At 34.7% G+C, this 17,261-nt stretch overlaps 1 protein-coding gene across 5 annotated transcripts in view; it reads left to right on the forward strand.

Annotated features, from left to right (window-relative positions):
• The window catches only part of HMCN1 (hemicentin 1), a 456,559-nt gene that overhangs the window by 229,144 nt on the left and 210,154 nt on the right, over positions 1-17,261 (forward strand). For all 5 annotated transcript variants that reach the window (NM_031935.3, XM_011510038.4, XM_024450118.2 and 2 more), the window contains 4 exons: positions 234-361; positions 2,268-2,381; positions 6,801-6,959; positions 14,253-14,447. In NM_031935.3, coding sequence (NP_114141.2) covers positions 234-361; positions 2,268-2,381; positions 6,801-6,959; positions 14,253-14,447 — 596 coding nt within the window. The remainder of the gene's footprint in view (positions 1-233; positions 362-2,267; positions 2,382-6,800; positions 6,960-14,252; positions 14,448-17,261) is intronic.

A 17,261-nucleotide genomic window follows, 5' to 3' on the forward strand; every position in this document is an offset into this window, starting at 1 on the left:
TAAATGTAAAGTTTCTAGAGCAGCGGCTGGTATGTAGTCAATATTGGATACATGATATTATTATTATTATTGCATTTCTGCTTATAAAATAATGATGGTAACCATTTCTGCAATCGACACCAAAAATATAACTCTACAACGTTTGAAAATATTTTAAAGGAAAGCACTATATTATCTTGATATTACTATTGTGGCATTTTCAATTTTATATTCTTTTTGTTTTTTATTCATAGGTATAGGATGACCTCAGATGGTACCTTATTTATCAAAAATGCAGCTCCCAAAGATGCAGGGATCTATGGTTGCCTAGCAAGTAATTCAGCTGGAACAGATAAACAGAATTCTACTCTCAGATACATTGGCAAGTATAATCACTTTAAAAGGCAATTAAAATAGGATGAATATCACATCAAGCAATGCAAAAGTACTTTTTTGAAATATTAATATTAGTAATGCATACATGGTATTATACTTTATTATTCATTTCACACACTGATTGAAGCAAATATTGTAACCAATTTAAGTTAAAAGTTCATAGAGTGAAAAGCTTCATTAGTCAACAGAAATCAAGGAAGCTTCCAGGTTATGGAATAATTTCATATTGTCCACAAAGTTCTATCTTTCCACTGTTCATCTGTTCTCTGCAATATTTTACTTTTAAATTAATAAATTCTATTTCCTTTCTAGCTTAACTTCCATTTTATAATTTCTACTTATATTAAAAACTGTGTATAATATAATTTTTACTTTTTATCTTCAATTTCCCTCTCCAAACTTAAACATTTATTGGAAGCGTACTTCATGAAAATTATTCTACAGAATATTTCTATTTAATTTTGTCTTTCTTAGTCAAATAAAGGATAAAGGAATAATATACTCAGATCCAGGTTATAAATCGTGAATAATCAATGGCTAGCAGTCCACCCTTTCATTCATTCTTATTCAGTCTCATTCACAGTAAGATAATGAAACTGTCAGTAGAGAAGCAAGGATTCAAAAGAGATAATAAAGATAGAGAATTGTACTTGAAGGTATAGGTGAGGGAGAGAACCAAAATGTCACAAGTATTGAATTGAGAGCCTGGAAAGAAGTGGTCTCATAATTTACATAATGGGGGTGGATATATACGGAAATATAACAAGGCAGACAGACAAGTACTACAGTGGGAGGTTGGCAGAGGGGAAGACTAATTCAGACGGAGGAATTAGCAAAGATTTCTCAAAGGAGACAGGATTTAGGCTCAGTCTGGAGGAATGAGTGGGATTTGAAAGGTTGTGGCAAAGGGCATTTTAGAAAGAGGAAATAGCTTTAGGAAAGGCAAAGAAGACAGGAGAGTAAAAGTCTGTTGTATTTTGGGCTATCAGTGAAGCTCTGTACCTTGTGATAAGTGAGGAACTGTAACAGGGTAAGGTTAAAAAAAAAGCTATGCACCCATTTATAATTTTTGAAAGAGAGTCTATGGAATTTTGAAGGCAGTAGGAATCACTGAAGGTATTCTAGCAGAGAAATTACATGATCTGTGAGAAGTTAACTTAGCTTTGTTTAAAAATACCTCAGCTGAAGCTAGGAAGTCCTAAAATATCTCGTTAAGAGAAAATGTTTAAGTAAACTGAACCATTGGGCAAGCAAGTGAAGCAAACGGAGTGAAGAACAGAAATTTAGAGAATGTCTATATTTAGCATCACAGGGAAAAGAAGGGTCAAAACCAGGAGACTCTACTTTTTGTAAATGCAAATTTTAGGCTTGGACTGCAAATATCTTCCTGTAGTTAGACATGAATATCCTTAAAATGACGTAGAAAATGTTAACAAATTCATCTACGGTTGTATCATCCTCAAGTCTTAATTTAGCTGTCAGTCTTACCATTATCCCTCTTTTGACTATATTTTTCTTAGAATTATTCCTCTCTCTGTTCTTTTAGTATTGTTTCTCTAAGATGTATTCTGATTTCTAAGATGTTTCTTTCCTTGTATAACTCTTTTTCATAAAGAACTTTCGATTAGTTTCCTAAATTTTTTGGAGTTTATGATAATTATTTTTTGTTTTAGTCATTATTTTTTTCCTGATATCATTTCTTTGACCTTGATAAATGATCTTTTTATCACATACACCTATGTGCATGTGCATTACAAGAGTTTCTTTCGGTTTATAAATATTGAAATGGCCACAAGCACATAAATTTTTAAATTGGTTCATTTAGTAAACATAAACAAAATCCATCTGGTCTTGTGCTAAATGTTGACTATTTGCGTTTTTGTTTTTTTCAGAAGCCCCTAAGTTGATGGTAGTTCAGAGTGAGCTCTTGGTTGCCCTTGGGGATATAACCGTTATGGAATGCAAAACCTCTGGTATTCCTCCACCTCAAGTTAAATGGTTCAAAGGTACATTTCTTCAATATGTTTGTGTCTGGTTCACTTAGTTTTGTTTTCTTTTTAAAAAAAATGATTTGTTAAAACTTTGTTTTGGTGTGTGACTTAGCAGCCCCATAAAATGTGTTTATGATCTCACTGGAGACAATAGTTCAAAATTCTCAACTCTGAATTTCAGGATTTGACATCTGGTATGGATTACAGGACTGTAAAAATCAAAGCAGGAAAAGTTCGCCTTTGCTAATCCAGCTGAACATTCTCTTTGTTAGTTTAGGATTGTTTCCTGAAGAAAATTGTCCAAGAATACTCAGTTAACGTTTAAAATAGCTCCGCTGATTTTAGTTCACTTTTCTTAGAGATGATGGCTCTCACTATTAAAAAGTTTTCTAGATTCACAAGGATACTTTCTATAAAGTGTTCAAATAAAGATACACATTGAAGCTTACAGATAGTTGAAAGACAAATTATTTATTGATAGGTCAGCTACATCATACATGGTAAATGCTTGTCTCAACTATAGAAATTATCTTTCTATATTTGTGTCATAAAGATTGCACCTCTGTGATTCCATAATAAAATAACAGTTATATGCCACTTGTCCTTGGTGAGATACACTTGGATTCTGGTTCCCGCTCAGATGCTGACAGTAGATATCTGTGTAAAAAGCCCTGCTTCTGCTTCTGTTTCAGTTCTTCCAGTTACGGGAAAAAGAAAAAAAATCCTGCAAACACCCTAACTGGGAGGTTGCTAGGATTATTGAGATGCTGTTTGCAAAATACTTTTAAATTTTCAGATGAAAAGTGTTAAATAGTACAAAGCACTATTGTTATGATTCTGTTTGTTAAATCACAAACATTTCCATAGCAACAGGTTGATGTCATAATCACAAAATTAGGAATTCACCTCAAGTTCAAACTCTTAGGGAACATGAGGTGAAAAAGAAAGGCTTTATGTAGAAAATAAATAGTTTTAAATAATATAAATCAAAAGCAAGGTGGAAACTAGGAAGTAATGCCATTTTCCTGGTTGTCCATACTGAAAGATTTTTAGTCTTCATGTTTTCTCTGATAAGAAAGCATTTCTGAGTTTGCTCCTTAATCAGGTTTATGTTGGTTAACATAAACTAATTTTACTTTCTTAAAATACTTAAATTTTTGAATTGCCAAAGAAATCAGTACCAATTTCAAATTTACATCATAATTAAATATATCAAGAAAATATGTTATAGACAGTATTTCTTTATTTTAAATGTCATTCAATAGTTTATCATGAAAATAAAAATTCAAAAAAGTAATGGAAATGCCAACTTCTATATATGTGTATATAGCAGAGTCTCACAAACAGTCTTTTATTCCCCCAAACTGGGACTGTGCTCCTTAATCAATTAGTCTTCATGCCCATCTTAAACCCAGAAATAGCTTGGAAACTAAAAGAGGAAATAGGGAACTAGGTACCCACTACATGAGAGATTCTAGAATTTACTCTCTGTTTCTTATCTCAACTATAGATATTACCGCTCAGTGGGTTCAATAATCTATCATTTTGCTGTCCAAGTTATGAACCAACAGAGATAGAATATGGGCATTTGATACATTGTAAGATGTGTTCCCTGGGTTCATCAATAATAGGCAGAGCTGCCCTGACCTCCAGGATCAGGTCAACTAACATACCCTCCCAAGTTACAGGCAGACAATTTATGCATAAACAGAGTAGAGTTAGGACCACCAAGAGCAAATCTAGGGGACAAACTCCTGTGAATGCAAACTGGCCTCAAAATGGAGGGGGTTAGGAGCAGGTGGGCTTTCCAGTCCCACCTCTGCTGAGGACAAGACACCAGGAAGGCTGGGAAAATGCTACCTTATGGAAACCATAGGGGTGAGGAGGAAGAGTTCCTGCCTTCACCATAAGAATATCTTTTTCCTCATACCTTCCTTGAGGTGATTCTGATTGAATAAAGTAGGTGTTTGAAAGAAAAAAATGAACAAACTGTATTCCATTCAGACCATCAGAGAAAAGGAATTCCATAAGCACAAATGCTCTCTTAAATTTTAGATCTTTTATTTTTAGAAATGAGCAATACAAAATGGGTTCAAAGGAGAATCAAAACACTACTGAAATCTTATAAAAAGTATATGTATGGTAAAATATTAAAGAAATTAGATTTATTCATTTAGATCTGTTGTTCCTAAAATGTGGTTTGGAGACTCTAGGGGTTCCCACAATTCTTTCAGGGGATTCATGAGATCAAAATTATTTTCATAATAATACTAAGATGTTGCCTTTTTCATTCTTATTATCTCAAAAGTGAATAATGGAGTTTCTGGAGGCTATGTGATGTGTGATGTCCAATAGAGTCAGTGGAGAAGCAAATATGAGCATTCAGCTGTCTTGTATTACACTACATTAGAGATTATAGAGATTTGCAAAATGTGAAACACTGCCACTCTTCTCACTAACTTTCTCATGTTTTGAAAATACAATTTTAAAAATATAATATGTTCATTATGCTAAAATGTCATGCATTTATTAAAAATAAGTGAATGCATGTTTTTAATTTCTCAGTTTTATTTCTAAAATTATATATATATATATAAATTACAAATAAACATAATCCACATAAAAATTCACCAGGGTCCCCATTAATTTTTAACAGTACAGTTAAGAAGTTTTTAAACAAACATTTTTGATAACTACTTATCAATTATTTGAAAAGATCTTATGCCAGAGATAATGATCTCTCTGTTAGTCTTTATATCCACAGAGGCCAAATTGAATTTAAACTGTAGAAAAAAGAGAACTCTCCTCAATGGTAATGACTGTAAACCCTAGGATATATTGTCAGTAAAGTTTATATATTTTACTATGTATAACATTCTTCTAGTCTTACCTAATATTAAAAGTAAATAGTCACTATTTTACTTCCATCTGAAAGGTTCTGTATTTATAGCTTCTCAATAATTTGATGAGTAACTTTTCAGTAGAAATCAAGAAAGGAGAATCTATCAAAATGTGATTAAAACAGAAACTTAATTGAACTAGTTTTTTCCAATTTATATTTTGTTTCATGACTGCTATTCTTTAAACATTTTTATTTTGATAGAAAGCTACTAGCAAAAAAGTCTTTATTTTATCCTGTTAATGTCCTCTGACATTTACAGAAGAAATATAAAGGGAAAGTGAATTCCAAAAATCTAAATGCATTTTAGTCCAAACATTTTAATACTTGATGACCAGTGAGGTCAGATTGCATCCTCCTGTGGTGTGAGGAAAGTTTATGTCAACATCATCTGCTTTTATTTATAAAAATTTCTCAGAGGCATATCGACACAGCTTTAGTTACTGCTCTCATTTTCACGTGGTATGTAGTAGCGAGTTTAAAAGCATGATTGAGGTTTTAAATATTGGAATGCTGAAAAATACTTCATTTTAGGCACTGACGGTTGCTGATGTAATTTTTTTCTCAAATTTAGAGCTCTTGTGACCTCCTTGCCTTTGAAAATTATATAAGCAGAAAGAGAATTGTCCATTTGTTGCCCCGAGTCTGTTGGCTGTTGCTGTTTGCAGTCTCCTAGAGAATTTTAGTACTAGCTCCTGAGTTGTGTTTGCTTCTTAGAAGCTAAGACAGTTACTTCCATGGTCCTCATTCCAAGGTCAGATGGCTGGTGTATGATATTTTGGAGAATACCTTTTCAGGCTTGACATCTGGGAATGCTATGAAACTCTAAGAACAATGGCCCTCAAGATTCCTGGAAGTTTTTAAAATCCTGACATGTTTGATGTCACCCTTTACAAAAACAAACAAAAAAGATGTGGACACTGAGCTGGCATTAAACATCCAGTACTATGTACAGTACTATGTACTTTTTTATGATAGTGGTCATCCTGATTAATTCTATTCTTTGGAAAGGAGATGCCCTGGAGGAGGAGGAGGGGAAGCATAAGGAAAAGCCTAACCTAAATCATAGCTTTGTTGAGACATCTTCTGCCTTCAAATAAAAGTCATTCTTGGGAAATTCAAGGCACTGGTCATTAGCAGAAATAAAATTCCTCTGGTCTCTCAAACATCTACTGAGTAACCAAATGCATCCTGCCACAAAGATGGTAGAAACTTCCTTTCAACCTTCATTTCCCCACTCCCTTGTTACCTAAGCTTTGGTTATGACTGCCAGGCTTTCCCGGTTCCCCAAGGTATCTTCAAAGAGCTCCTCCTTTTTTATTTAGTTACACATACAGATATAAATAGAAAATATTCATACACAGTTTATTACAGGTCTGAATTTTAGACTGTAGAAAGTGTCTATGTTGTGCCAAACACTTGTGTTTAAAAACTTTGCAATCAACTTTATTTGGAAGTTTTGAAATTAAACCAATAGCTGCATAAACAATTTTAATACTTTAGTGTTTAATGTTCTCCCCTTTGTTTTGACTTAGGAGATCTTGAGTTGAGGCCCTCAACATTCCTCATTATTGACCCTCTCTTGGGACTTTTGAAGATTCAAGAAACACAAGATCTGGATGCTGGCGATTATACCTGTGTAGCCATCAATGAGGCTGGAAGAGCAACTGGCAAGATAACTCTGGATGTTGGCTGTAAGCCTCCAGATCTTATAGGCCAATTTGTTTAGAAATTGATATGTTATTTTTCATGTTTAATAACCTTGAAATGGTTTGGTAGAATTATTCATCAGAATGGCAAAATTAGAGGGTGCATTTCAGATTAATAGAATAACAGTAGTTAGCATTTACTAGGTGCTTTCTTTCTTTTTTTTTTTTGATACGGAGTCTCACTCTGTCACCCAGGCTGGAGTGCAGTAGTGCTATCTCGGCTCACTGCAACCTCTGCACCCCATGTTCGAGCAATTCTCCTGCCTCAGCCTCCTGAGTAGCTGGGATTGCAGGCGCCTGCCACCATGCCCAGCTATTTTTTTGTATTTTTAGTAGAGGCGGGGTTTCACCATGTTGGCCAGGCTGGTCTTGAACTCCTGACCTCGTGATTCCCACCCACCTCAGCCTCCCAAAGTGCTGGGATTACAGCCATGAGCCACCACACTGGGCCACTTTCTAGGTACCGTTCGCTGTGTCAAAAAATTTATACGGAAAGATCCTAAAATTATCTCCTTTTTATAGATAAGGAAACTGAGGCTTATAAAGGCTAAGCAACTTGATCAGAGTTACAGAGTTAGGGAGGTGCAGAACCTGGATATTTGAACTCAAGTTGCTGTTTCCCTACGAAGAGTCATCCATTCTGCCACCGAATTTCTAAGTATCAACATCTGGAGGCCAGAAATTATACTTTGGCCCAAGATCATAATTTGAAGATATTGATGACAGCAAAGGTATCAGATTGTGCTTTTACTTAAAAAAATTCAATAGCAATTACTCTTCAGTGTATGAAATAAAGTACTACAAAAAAATGTCAATCATAAAATGAAGATACAGTGTATGCAAGACAACCATATGTAGGTTACTCAAGAAGTTTGGTCCTCCCTTTTTTGTCTACCTCATGTCTCTTCACATTGTAGTCAAACATAAAACAGAGTTCAGTTTGTATGAAATAGAACCTGGCATTTAATTTTTAAGATAATTTAATATTTGTGTCACTTAGAACTTATAAAATATGACATTGCATTCAATTGTCCTCTATTTTCACTTGTATATGATGATATTCATGCCAGACTGTTTTTTTTAAAGCAAAAGTTAGAACTGTAAAGAAAATGCTTTTTATTTTTCTTAGAATATAGTAACACAAAACATTTTAGTTCCACTGTTTTAAGTCTTTAAATGAAAATTATGTCCTCCTAACTTGATATTTGTTTCATGTAAGCTAAATTTTTGCTTTCTGGGATCTTTTATGATCCCCTTGCCCCTGAACTGTCTGGTGAACACTCTGCATTCTTGGTGATTATGCCCTTGGGGGAGAATCAACAAAGCTGGAAATGACCACAAAGACCACTATAGAATCTGTCTAGGACACTGTAACACGTGTTTGAACCATGACTAAACTCTGTGGTTATTAAGAGAAATGCCTTGAAAATAAGATTGGAACCTCTGGGTGGAGGGTAGCTCTGAATCTACTAGCAAGCAAGATGTAAAACACAGTAATGCTTTTAGACATGTAAGGCCCAAATAAAGAGGGTCACTACATAGAGAATTCTTGTTTACAAGAAATATACTGAGTACAACATTGTAATTCTCAACATTTTCTAGTTCTCCTTCTACCTCCTTCCGGCACAGATATTTTATGTTTACTCAACATTCTTTTAGACTTGTCTGGCTCTAGAGGAAGAGAGAAACAGTCTCAGTAATTTTTCCCAACAAAAAGGTAATTGCACCCTCAGTCCCCTCAAAGTTTGTAGAAATCCTAAGAATCTTTTGCACATGCTTCTTTGCTTACTTGCTGCCTTCTTGGTAATCCCTTTTAGCTTCTGGAATTTCCAGATTCCTTCTTCCATCCAGTGATACACCATATAAGGGTTCACACTATCTGTGTTGGGGTGACTTACATTGGATTAGGAAACAACCTAACAAATGTTTCGTATTTATGCTTTATTTCTTGAACAGAAGTGAATTTTATTTTATCTTCACTTATACTCAAGATCTTCATTCTCTGTGACCCTTTCTAAAACAATGGCTTTTCAACTTTTATTCTAGTAATTGTCCTGACAGAACCATCAACATAAGCCAAATTATTTGTTTATTGTAACCTTGACCATTGTTCACAATTGCCAAATAACTTAGTGTTAAAGTCAGTACCATTCATGTTTCTGTTATGCATTAACTATTTCCATATTCGCTGTTAGATCTTTCTCTTTGTAGCTCACAATGTTAGGAGTTGCTTCATTTTTGAGGTTTGCTTGTCACTGATGCTACCTTGGCTGCCTACCTAGTGCCTGGTATTCTCATTTGCCTTGTTTTGTGATACCAGTACATATATTCTTTGACCTTGTGCTTGTTTTGTTGAATAACAAAGGTTGAACAGACCTTGTCTGTTCACATCACACTATTGTTACATATTCTAGCAGATATAATATGTAAATGCTAAGAACCATGCAAATCACAGTTGCAGTGATAATTATAGTTATCACTATTAGGTTTAAAGGTAAACACACATCAAATCAAAACTTTCCCCAGAACTTATGTAGTGGTTAAGTAAATGGTGGACTCTGACAGAGAATGGGTTTTCTGCCTAAACTTTCCTCATCTATAAAATAATGATCTAAGTGGTACCTACCTCACTGGTTGGTTGTAAAGATAAAACGAGACATCATCCTAACGTACACCCAGCATATCAGCTGTTACTGCTGTTCCTCTAAAGCTGTTTAATGAAACATGTATCATGTAAATGAATATTAACTTCACAAATTAAGTGGTCATTTTGATTCTTTGAACCTTGAAAAATCATATGGAAATGCCTATATAATAGCAGCTTAGTATTTAAGATTAAGCATTGGGATTTTAATGTGAAAGTCACCATTTCAGCTTAATTTTTTAAAGAAAGGGCTTGAGACAAGTTAAGTACTAAGCTTAGTAGTGCATAAAATTGTTCATTTGAGTTCCAAAACTATTGGGCATAAATTTAAGTAGCTTATGACTTAGGAAGAAAAGCATGCTTTTATCCATATCATTTAGCTATTTGAGCTTTCAGATTGTTTTTGTGGGCATATTACTTCATATCAACAATACTAGATCAAAAAATTATGAAAAGGCTATTTAATACGATTTTTGAGTTCTAGCTTCTTGTAGTGAGTGCCCTTTTTCCTATTACTTATTATCATGGTTTTAAATTATGGACATTTCAGGTCAACAGGGAAAGTTACCAATGATTTTTATCCTTTGTAAAAAGGGATAGTGGACTGTGAAGTCATTTGGAAGGAAAGAGGACTGGCTACATCAAACAAAAAGTTGGCTTGGCAGTGATTTTATTTGTAGCATTCCATACCACACAGGGTTTGAGACTTAGACTGTGGTTTCATGCTTTGCGGTTTGGTGGAACCAAAACAATGTGTCCAGTCATTTTAGGAAAGAAAATCTCTGACTAAAATAATGCAAGAGTCACCACATGGAGTATATATATATTTAATTTTCCCTAAGGGAACTAGAATAATTTTATGGAATAATTTTTGCAGCAAGATGGTCAATCTGTTTGTGATTTTTATATTTGCAGAATAATGTGTGTACACAGCCATATCTATATGTAAGTTACAGCAAAGTTATACTGTGGCATTAACCCTGTGCAGATCTCAAGATGCTTGCAAACAAATACTTAGGATCTCAGAGGATCAAACATCATCCTAACAGACTCTGTGAAGAAGCCAAAATTGAAATTAACCATAGATACATTAAACTAACCACAGAAATTAACCATAGACTTATTAAACTCCAGTTGAGATTTAATAAGTTAACTCTATAATATGTTTAATGAGTGTTTATATCTCAGTGATTATTATATACTAAATGATTAATAAGATCATCTCTTTTAACAACATGAGATAGGAAATGTTATTATGCCTTTTTTGTTCATGGGGATATTTTAACTGGAGGAGGTAAAATAATTTTCTCAAGCTTAGAGTTGCCATTTGAAGCCACTTAGTGTGCTCTTCACCTCTCTAAGCAAACAGCCTCCTCTGTAGAAGCACCGTGCACCGTACTACACTCACTGCTGTTCTTCTTCCCCATAGTTTCATTAATGTATTTACCATCTACTCACTGTAATTCACTTGGAGTTCATGTTGGCTACATTCAGGAGTAGGAAGTATTTAAAAAGCTTCTTGGCTGTATTAGGAGTTGCTTCATTTTTGAAGTTTGCTTGTCATTGATGCTGCCTTGGCTGCTTACCTAGTGCCTGGTATTCTCATTTGCCTTGTTTTGTGATACCAGTACATATATTCTTTGACCTTGTGCTTGTTTTGTGCATAATGCTGTTCTCAAAGCTGCTTTACAATGGATGACTTCTCCTGTCTTAATTGAGTTTTGTTGGTACAGATTGAGGTTTGTTTATCCTTTTTAATTCCAGTTTGTTCTTGGCTTTCTTAGTTCTGAAAATTGAAATCTGCCTTCATTTTCACTGATGCCTGTGTTGTAATGTGTCAGTAAACTGGGTATTCTTCCAAGCAGTTGGTTGATTCCAGGCTTCTGCATATCTTTGTGCTGTTCTGGAATTTGTTTTCTGTCCATCACCGCATTTACCTGCCCATACTCTGAGGCTAACATATCCAGAAACTTTTAAACTTAACTTCCATTTTTCAGAACAGCCATCTGCTTTAGAATAAATGATTTCCGTTTATCCAGAGAAAAGTAACTAGGTCTTAGAGACTTCGTGTATTCGTCCGTTCTCACATTGCTATAAAGAAATTCCAAAGACTGGGTAATTTGTGAAGAAAAGAGGTTTAATTGGCTCACCGTTCTGCAGGCTCTACAGAAAGCATGGCTAGGGAGGACTCAGGAAACTTATAATCATGGCAGAAGGCAAAAGGGAAGCAGGCACATCTTACATGGCCAGAGCAGAAGGAAGAGAGCAAAGGGGGAGGTGATACACACTTTTAAATCACCAGATCTCATGAGAATTCACTCACTATCCCGAGAACAGCAAGGGGGCAATCTGCCCCTATGATCCAATCACCTCCCACCAGGCCCCTCCTCCAAAATTGGGGATTACGATTCAACATGAGATTTGGGCAGGGACACAGATCCAAACCGTATCACTTAGAATAAGCAAGCTATGAGCTATTCTATTAACTATGTTTAAATATGTTTAAAATATGTTTATTTTGCCTATTATTTTTATAAGTCAAATTTCCATATAGATGGATTAAGAAAAATCTAAACACTGATACACGATTTATTTATAAAAATATATTGTTCAATTGTGGTATTTAACCTAATTTAATTTTGTTTAGGTTCAATAAATAAATAAGAGGGCTCTGAAATTGCCACGTGAAAGTTCAATGTACTGGGTGAAGGTTGCTGTACACACTTATGCACCAGACACACACACACACACACACGCACACACACACTGTGTTATTACTGAAGTGTTGTCATACTGATTTCAAAAATTCATTGACAAATATCCAGTGGCCATGAATAATGCCCAAAGTACTATGTTAGCTGCTGTAAAAGATAAAAATATGGTTACAAATATAAACTCTCTAGGAAATAAAAAACAAATGTAGTCTAACAACAGGTTGAATGTGGTGATTGCTATGAGAATGGTAGAGAGTGAGTTTTCTGAAACTTTAGAGAGGGAAGAAATCATGCTCATCTCAACTGGTAAGAGATGGCATCATAGAGGAGGGGCCTTTTAAACCAGATTAAAGATTGCCAATATTTCAACAGCCAGAGATCAATAACAGACATTACATTTGTGGGAGATGGTAATAACAAGGTACTGATATGAGAAAGGTCAGTCCTTGCTTGGAGAAGAACAAGGGATGTTGATTGCCCAGGTAGTAACATTTATAAAGGGAAATAATAGGAGATGAGGCTGCAAAGTTGGAGGAGGTTCTTTAACCTATGCTAAAAAAGCATTAATGCTGCTTGAGAGACAACTGTACATCAACTCCAGAATTCCCATGGGAAGAAAAGTGATCTCTGTAGGAATATTTATGAGCCTGCTAACTAGTGTGACTATGAGCAGTTGTGAGAACCCATAGAAAAGGGGAAGTTAATATAATCACAAAGAATGGTGACTCCAAAGTTGAACTGACTTGGCTTTTAAGCCTGCTTCCATAATTCAACTCCATGTGACACTTAGCAAATTAACTATCTGTGTTTCAGTTTCTTCATCTATAAAATCAGAGTAATAACAATACCTACCCCATAGAGATATTGTGAAGATTAAATGAGGTAATAATGGACAGCACTTAACACAACCTCTGACTCTGTAAGTGGTAATTATCATTTCTAACCAAGATTTAACCTTGACTTTATCAAGGAGCCTTCCCTAGGGTACACCTCTTAGAATCCTATATGAGCAGGTTTCATCCATTGCCTCCAAAAGTACCCTGTATATTTCTCCTTGCCTGGTGTCTCATCACCCATAAGTTTCCAGGATGTATTGAGAGCCTCATCTATTTGAACTTGCTGACAGTATCCTCCCTAAACAGGATTCCTATGTTTTCCAAGATGTGCCTCTGATGTATTTCTATGTCTTCCTCCCTGATCTCTGTGGTTACCTGAATTACGTGGATATCTGTAGCCTCTTATCTATAATTTTTATAGTTTCTGAATCATTTCTTAATTCTGACTAAGATATTAAACTCTTCCTATTCTCTTTTTATCAAATACTACATTCTGTTACTTTGATTCGTATTATTTATTCTAATATTTAAATTTCTCTAATTCAAAAATGTGAAAGGTATGAGAAGCAAGAATATGATATTGAACAAGGATATAATTTAGGAGTAAATAGTGTTAGCTTGTTATATAGTGATTATAGAATAATGAACTCTGGTATAAATTAATTTAAAAATTCAACCAAAGGAGTAAGTTACGGAAAGTGTCAAAAATATCTTATTATAAAGCCAACTTATTTATAAGATAGTCTTAAAGTTTGAGCAATTTGACATAAACTGAAATTGAAAACAAATTTTTAGAGTGAAAGATTCTCTTTATTTAAGGTTATTATAATTTGAAGTCCCATGCTTTTTATCATCTATCACCTTAAGGAAATGGTTGGGCTTCTAAGTGTCTCTCTTCATTTATAAAGCAAAAAAGAAACACCCACTGTTTTTACCTAAGAGAGGAATATCAACAGGGTAAATTTACAATATAATATGAACAATAATTCAAATTCAATGATTTGACAGTTTAATATTTAAGTTTATGTTTAATATGCCTGTATAATATACCGATGACTTATTTGTTGTTTGTAATGTCTTCCAGCACCTCCAGTTTTCATACAAGAACCTGCTGATGTGTCTATGGAAATTGGCTCAAATGTGACATTACCTTGTTATGTTCAGGGTTATCCAGAACCAACAATCAAATGGCGAAGATTAGACAACATGCCAATTTTCTCAAGACCTTTTTCAGTTAGTTCCATCAGCCAACTAAGAACAGGAGCTCTCTTTATTTTAAGTAGGTTGAAGGAAATATATTTTGTACGAATATGTACTTTTATGTTATATATTTATGTTTTATACATAGGTATTGCTATTTAAAATAGTATATTAATCTTGCCAACACATTTTATGTTCATTGCATTTTACTTTGAAATAGTACTGGCATTTTATATTCGGGAATTGTCATAAATGAGTTATATTTTATTCAAATGTATGTCATTAATTTATCATAAGGGCTTATGAAACAATATGACTTCTTCATATCTTACCATTTCTTATTGCAAATAGAGTCATCTGAGCCTTTACATAGATAAGTGGTCACATTACCTTGATTCTTGTAACAATTGTTGTATAGAAAGATAAAATATTACTATTAGTTAACTTTATTTATTTTGTCAAACAGTACATAACAACATAGGGATGCCTTGGAATCTCCTTTATTAAAAGCTGTATCCACCTGAAGCAAAAGATCCCTGCCACCCCCACAAAAGTCAAATACTTTCTTATCTAAAAATTTTATAAGCTATTCAGTATTCAGATATTTGGAAGCACCTTCTATTTTTTCAAATAATGCTAAGAATAATTGCATGGTGTTACCAGAGGAGGAAAAGCATTTAGATAATTAATTGCATTTTTAAAAATAATGGGATGTTTGGGGTATTTTATAGAAAGCTTTTAATCAGTTACTGCTAAGTTAATTATTTTAATTATTTTTATTTTTATATTTTGGGTGGGTACGGGTTCTCATTCTGTTGCCCAGGCTGGAGTGCAGTGGCATGAACTTGGCTCACTGCAAACTCCACCTCACAGGTTCAAGCAATTGTCCTGCTTCAGCCTCCTGAGTAGCTGGGATTACAGGTGTGAACCACCATACCCAGCTAATTTTTGTATTTTTGGTAGAGATAGGGTTTTACCATGTTGGCCAGGCTGGTCTCGAATTCTTGACCTCAAATGATCCACCCACATCGTCTTCCCAAAGTACTGGGATTGCTGTCGTGAACCACCATGTCTGGCCCAAGTTTATTAACAATATTAAATATACATTGGCCACTTAAACTTCCAGATATAAATTAAATTGTCTAATAACAAGTGCTTCAGTGTTCAGCTCTGTGGTGAGCTCTGTGGTGGACAGATTCAGATATAGGGTCCCTCACTCAGGTAGTTTGCAGTCCATTCTCTGAGTGGATGCCCATGAAAGGAGCTACTGGGAAGTACACATCAGATTGGGTCAGATTGTGCATGACTTGAATGTCCAGGTGAAAAAATGGATTTGATGAGCTAGAAGTTAGAGAGCCCCATTCCAAGTTTGATAGGCAGGAAAAGGTACATGAAAGTACTGTTTCAGAACAACACCGCTACAAGATAGGAAGAGAGATGAGAGAAAGGGAACATTGAAAAGCTCAAAGAGTGATGATGAGAAACAACCCAGATGTTGATAAAAAGTGAGACCTGAAAACAAATTGATTAAAGGAGACAAAAGAAAAGGAAGAATAAAAGAGCTCAATATCTTGAGCAACAGTTGCCTAATTGTCGAAATTAAATTGTCTGGAAGGAAATTAGTAATTAGAAACTTGGTTCTCATGGTATGTTGTATTTCTACACAAATTAGCCCAAGAATTCGTAATATGAAAAATATCCCAGTTAGAACTAATGTATGATTTATTAATGGGGTGGTTTGCTGAATTTTTATTTCCAAATGAATGTTTGCTATTTAGAGTAGATGCTACCTTAATTTACCAGATGCAGTTCTACAATTAGATGCATATGGTTAGCAGAGGAGTAGAAACTTTGTCATGGTTCTTTATCTGAGATAGTATGGGACTATGGATGCTGGAAAGCTGCACTTTTCTCTGTTCAAATCTTATCAATAGATTAAACTGCTCATTTTGGTTCATATATTTACAAGATTATACCCATTCCCCTATTTAAAATCCTCTCCTTCCTTCCTGATTGCTCACAAGACAAAACCATACTCTTGAGAATGTACCAGCCCACCTCTTCAACTTCAGTCTCCTGACTATCCCCACGCAACCTATAACTCAGTAGTCCCCATCCTCATGGCTCCAATACCCTCTTTAATTACAAATATTTTGTAATATCATTTTATTATCTTGAAAAATTCTATATATTTGATCTAACTACATAATAAAAATTATTTTAATGTCTAACACATACAAATGAAAAATGAGGGAAAGTAATTTATACTAAAATAATGCATATTTCAATACGTAAATACTCTGGCATTGTCTACAGAATATGAAGATACATTTATGTGGCATCATTATGAATTCAATAGCTCAAATGCAGACTCATGCAGGAGTATAGGATTGATGACTCAAAAACTCCAAGCTGGTGAAGTGATTTTCTAAGATGATGTGCAATTATTACTAAAGTTCTGTCTTTCTTCTGCACATACAGAATTAGGTTGCAGACTCATGTAGTTACAAACAAAGTTATGAAATACACACATTTCAGTGGGAGCTTCAAAGTCGTGCTGGACTTGGGATAATTGTTTCTTTGCGAATCTGGCCCATGTTTCACCTCTCTAGTTTTTACCCACTGAATGCCAGCAGACTTCTCCAGTCATTGCATCAACTAAAAAATCTCCCCTGCAAACTTCTAACAGGGTGGTGGTGCAGAGCACCACCATTGATGGTGCAGCTTTCCATTCTTTGTACAGGCCATGATTTTTCTAGTCATGCTCTTGCCTTTGTAACCGATTAGAACTGGACTGCCCGTCCTCTATTCTACTCACTCAGATATTACCTCAGTGTGAATCCTTCTCCAATTGCCTTTCATGCAGTCACTTCTGTCTCTGCTTCCAGAGCTC

Source organism: Homo sapiens, chromosome 1 (genome assembly GCF_000001405.40).
Source record: "Homo sapiens chromosome 1, GRCh38.p14 Primary Assembly".
NCBI classification, from domain to species: domain Eukaryota; kingdom Metazoa; phylum Chordata; class Mammalia; order Primates; family Hominidae; genus Homo; species Homo sapiens.